Raw genomic sequence first — 5,448 nt, 5'->3', positions numbered from 1 at the left:
CTGCCCAAGTGAAAGTAAAGGGTCTCTTTCAGAACTGTGAGCTCTACTTCCTGGAGTTGGAAGAGGGGTGATACTAGCACTCCCTTAGCTGCCCTGGCAGGTTTCTCACTATGTCACTCCCCACCCCAACCACCCACAGTCCACGGACTCTGAGCCCAGCACAGCACTAGGATTTGCCTAGCAGTTGCAGTCCTTGTGGCCTAGGCAGGCTTTCAAGGTTTTTTTTTTAGATCCCCAGAGTACTTTAGCCCACAATGGCAAGGCTTGACAAATTCAGGTTCTGACCACTGGCATGGGTGATTGCCCTTTGACTAACACTGGTCTAAATGCTCCCTCCATGAGTGCCAGCTGAGTTCTACCAAGTGTTGGCAGCACTGCATTCCAATGCAAGTTCCTTAATTGCTGTGCTCTTCCTCTCCCAAGAGTACATATTCTCTCTCCCTGCCACATGGTCACTGGCAGGGGATTGGGCAGAGGTCATGTTGGAAATTCAAGGCTGTCTTTCCTAAGATCCTCATTGCCTCTTTCAGTGATATGAAGTTAAAACCAGATGCAGTGATCATGATCACTCACCAGATTCTTGGTTCCCATGAAGGTGCTTTTTTTGTGCAGATAGTTGTCAAATTGGGTGCTCCTGTGGTGAGGACAGTTGGTAGAGGCTTCTATCTGGCCGTTCTTGATCTGCCTCCTTCTTAAAGCTTTTTGTGTATTATACTTTTAAAAGTTTTTATGTAACTTTGTATATTGCCACACAATAACAAAAAATATGGTGCATGCTTGAAAATTAATTTCCTGTTTTGAATATATGCAGGAGTCTTGGTCAACCCAGATCAGGTTTAGCCCAATTAGGCTAAATTCATAAATTCCAGCTCTTTTAATAAGGATGATGGCAATAGCCTAATTAGAAGCCAACTCTGTAAAGCTGTGGAATATATGATTAATGTTAACACATCAGTCATGATGACTGTAAAAATAAAAGACATGTATTACAGACCAGACATTTTTGCAATTTAATAAAACATTCATTACCTAGGGAAAGATTTTATGAAAACTCACTTAAGATAACACTTATATTAGATATTTTAGCATTTTTAGAGTATAATCATTATTAAGCATTTTTTATCTCTCTACTTTTGTCTTTGAGATTTTTTTAACCTAACAAATCATCTCTAAGTAAGATAAAATGGGTATTATGTATAAATGTCTGGAATGTGTGTCAACAAAATGGATTATTTGTATAATGCACTTACAGTAATCAATCAATAAATATTCATATTGTAAATATTTCTAAATGATAACCACAAAATAATTCCAGTTTTAAGAGCCAATTTGTATGCTAAAATGCATCAAAAATAATCAATCTTTCTGGGCATCTCCCTATCATCTCATTGATCACAAAAGTACTCTAACAACCTAAAGTACAAGCGTCATTTTTCTAACATACAAAAATATCTAAACATTTAATTTCAAGTCCACGGTCACAAATCTGCAGAAAGAAATTGGGGAATGACTTTTTCAACTTTTTGTTTATGAAGTAGGTTAATATTTGTAGGTAGATAAATATTTGAGATGAATGAATGACGAAATTACATAGTCACATGAAAGGAAAAAACAGTGCTTAAATTAAAAGAGATAAGTGTTTATCTAAGACACATGTTATTGTTTAATATATAAAATGCAATTTTCCCCATTAAGATAAGAAAAAAGGAGATTTGGGAGGAGCCAAGATGGCCGAATAGGAACAGCTCCGGTCTACAGCTCCGGTCTACAGCTCCCAGCGTGAGCGACGCAGAAGACGGGTGATTTCTGCATTTCCATCTGAGGTACCGGGTTCATCTCACTAGGGAGTGCCAGACAGTGGGCGCAGGCCAGTGTGTGCGCGCACCCTGCGCGAGCCGAAGCAGGGCGAGGCATTGCCTCACCTGGGAAGCGCAAGGGGTCAGGGAGTTCCCTTTCCGAGTCAAAGAAAGGGGTGACGGACGCACCTGGAAAATCGGGGCACTCCCACCCGAATATTGCGCTTTTCAGACCGGCTTAAAAAACGGCGCACCACGAGACTATATCCCACACCTGGCTCGGAGGGTCCTACGCCCACGGAATCTCGCTGATTGCTAGCACAGCAGTCTGAGATCAAACTGCAAGGCGGCAGCGAGTCTGGGGGAGGGGCGCCCGCCATTGCCCAGGCTTGCTTAGGTAAACAAAGCAGCCGGGAAGCTCGAACTGGGTGGAGCCCACCACAGTTCAAGGAGGCCTGCCTGCCACTGTAGGCTCCACCTCTGGGGGCAGGGCACAGACAAACAAAAAGACAGCAGTAACCTCTGCAGACTTAAATGACCCTGTCTGACAGCTTTGAAGAGAGCAGTGGTTCTCCCAGCACGCAGCTGGAGATCTGAGAACCGGCAGACTGCCTCCTCAAGTGGGTCCCTGACCCCTGACCCCCGAGCAGCCTAACTGGGAGGCACCCCCCAGCAGGGGCACACTGACACCTCACAAGGCAGGGTATTTCAACAGACCTGCAGTTGAGGGTCCTGTCTGTTAGAAGGAAAACTAACAAACAGAAAGGACATCCACACCGAAAACCCATCTGTACATCACCATCATCAAAGACCAAAAGTAGATAAAACCACAAAGATGGGGAAAAAACAGAACAGAAAAACTGGAAACTCTAAAACGCAGAGCGCCTCTCGTCCTCCAAAGGAACGCAGTTCCTCACCAGCAATGGAACAAAGCTGGATGGAGAATGACTTTGACGAGCTGAGAGAAGAAGGCTTCAGACGATCCAATTACTCTGAGCTATGGGAGGACATTCAAACCAAAGGCAAAGAAGTTGAAAACTTTGAAGAAAATTTAGAAGAATGTATAACTAGAATAACCAATACAGAGAAGTGCTTAAAGGAGCTGATGGAGCTGAAAACCAAGGCTCGAGAACTACGTGAAGAATGCAGAAGCCTCAGGAGCCGATGCAATCAACTGGAAGAAAGGGTATCAGCAAGGGAAGATGAAATGAATGAAATGAAGTGAGAAGGGAAGTTTAGAGAAAAAAGATTAAAAAGAAATGAGCAAAGCCTCCAAGAAATATGGGACTATGTGAAAAGACCAAATCTGCGTCTGATTGGTGTACCTGAAAGTAATGAGGAGAATGGAACCAAGTTGGAAAACACTCTGCAGGATATTATCCAGGAGAACTTCCCCAATCTAGCAAGGCAGGCCAACGTTCAGATTCAGGAAATACAGAGAACGCCACAAAGATACTCCTCGAGAAGAGCAACTCCAAGACACATAATTGTCAGATTTACCAAAGTTGAAAGGAAGGAAAAAATGTTAAGGGCAGCCAGAGAGAAAGGTCGGGTTACCCTCAAAGGGAAGCCCATCAGACTAACAGCGGATCTCTCGGCAGAAACCCTACAAGCCAGAAGAGAGTGGGGGCCAATATTCAACATTCTTAAAGAAAAGAATTTTCAACCCAGAATTTCATATCCAGCCAAACTAAGCTTCATAAGTGAAGGAGAAATTAAATACTTTACAGACAAGCAAATGCTGAGAGATTTTGTCACCACCAGGCCTGCCCTAAAAGAGCTCCTGAAGGAAGCGCTAAACATGGAAAGGAACAACCAGTACCAGCTGCTGAAAAATCATGCCAAAATGTAAAGACCATCGAGACTAGGAAGAAACTGCGTCAACTAACGAGCAAAATCACCAGCTAACATCATAATGACAGGATCAAATTCACACATAACAATATTAACTTTAAATGTAAATGGACGAAATGCTCCAATTAAAAGACACAGACTGGCAAATTGGATAAAGAGTCAAGACCCATCAGTGTGCTGTATTCAGGAAACCCATCTCACGTGCAGAGACACACATAGGCTCAAAATAAAAGGATGGAGGAAGATCTACCAAGCAAATGGAAAACAAAAAAAGGCAGGGGTTGCAATCCTAGTCTCTGATAAAACAGACTTTAAACCAACAAAGATCAAAAGAGACAAAGAAGGCCATTACATAATGGTAAAGGGATCAATTCAACAAGAAGGGCTAACTATCCTAAATATATATGCACCCAATACAGGAGCACCCAGCTTCATAAAGCAAGTCCTGAGTGACCTACAAAGAGACTTAGACTCCCACACATTAATAATGGGAGACTTTAACACCCCACTGTCAACATTAGACAGATCAACGAGACACAAAGTCAACAAGGATACCCAGGAATTGAATTCAGCTCTGCACCAAGCGGACCTAATAGACATCTACAGAACTCTCCACCCCAAATCAACAGAATATACATTTTTTTCAGCACCACACCACACCTGTTCCAAAATTGACCACACAGTTGGAAGTAAAGCTCTCCTCAGCAAATGTAAAAGAACAGAAATTATAACAAACTATCTCTCAGACCACAGTGCAATCAAACTAGAACTCAGGATTAAGAATCTCACTCAAAGCCGCTCAACTACATGGAAACTGAACAACCTGCTCCTGAATGACTATTGGGTACATAACAAAATGAAGGCAGAAATGAAGATGTTCTTTGAAACCAACGAGAACAAAGACATGACATACCAGAATCTCTGGGATGCATTCAAAGCAGTGTGTAGAGGGAAATTTATAGCACTAAATGCCCACAAGAGAAAGCAGGAAAGATCCAAAATTGACACCCTAACATCACAATTAAAAGAACTAGAAAAGCAAGAGCAAACACATTCAAAAGCTAGCAGAAGGCAAGAAATAACTAAAATCAGAGCAGAACTGAAGGAAATAGAGACACAAAAAACCATTCAAAAAAATCAATGAATCCAGGAGCTGGTTTTTTGAAAGGATCAACAAAATTGATAGACCGCTAGCAAGACTAATAAAGAAAAAAAGAGAGAAGAATCAAATAGACACAATAAAAAATGATAAAGGGGATATCACCACCGATCCCACAGAAATACAAACTACCATCAGAGAATACTACAAACACCTCTACGCAAATAAACTGGAAAATCTAGAAGAAATGGATAAATTCCTCGACACATACACTCTCCCAAGACTAAACCAGGAAGAAGTTGCATCTCTGAATAGACCAATAACAGGAGCTGAAATTGTGGCAATAATCAATAGTTTACCAACCAAAAAGAGTCCAGGACCAGATGGATTCACAGCCGAATTCTACCAGAGGTACAAGGAGGAACTGGTACCATTCCTTCTGAAACTATTCCAATCAATAGAAAAAGAGGGAATCCTCCCTAACTCATTTTATGAGGCCAGCATCATTCTGATACCAAAGCCGGGCAGAGACACAACCAAAAAAGAGAATTTTAGACCAATATCCTTGATGAACATTGATGCAAAAATCCTCAATAAAATACTGGCAAACCGAATCCAGCAGCACATCAAAAAGCTTATCCACTATGATCAAGTGGGCTTCATCCCTGGGATGCAAGGCTGGTTCCATATACGCAAATC

The 5,448-nt window shown here is 41.9% G+C and overlaps 2 annotated features.

The window, feature by feature from the left end:
- Positions 1,359–2,005: an enhancer, noted in NCBI's record as "OCT4-NANOG-H3K27ac-H3K4me1 hESC enhancer chr11:96144539-96145185 (GRCh37/hg19 assembly coordinates)". NCBI's record gives its function as "activates a minimal SCP1, AML or CMV promoter by ChIP-STARR-seq in primed H9 embryonic stem cells {active_cell/tissue: H9 hESC(primed)}" and the evidence as "EXISTENCE:reporter gene assay evidence [ECO:0000049][PMID:30033119]".
- Positions 2,006–2,652: an enhancer, noted in NCBI's record as "OCT4-NANOG-H3K27ac-H3K4me1 hESC enhancer chr11:96143892-96144538 (GRCh37/hg19 assembly coordinates)". NCBI's record gives its function as "activates a minimal SCP1, AML or CMV promoter by ChIP-STARR-seq in naive and primed H9 embryonic stem cells {active_cell/tissue: H9 hESC(naive and primed)}" and the evidence as "EXISTENCE:reporter gene assay evidence [ECO:0000049][PMID:30033119]".

The sequence above is a fragment of the Homo sapiens genome, chromosome 11 (genome assembly GCF_000001405.40).
Source record: "Homo sapiens chromosome 11, GRCh38.p14 Primary Assembly".
Classification (NCBI taxonomy): domain Eukaryota; kingdom Metazoa; phylum Chordata; class Mammalia; order Primates; family Hominidae; genus Homo; species Homo sapiens.
The sequence above is the reverse complement of the archived record's forward strand: the minus strand, read 5'-3'. Positions and strand labels throughout refer to the sequence as shown.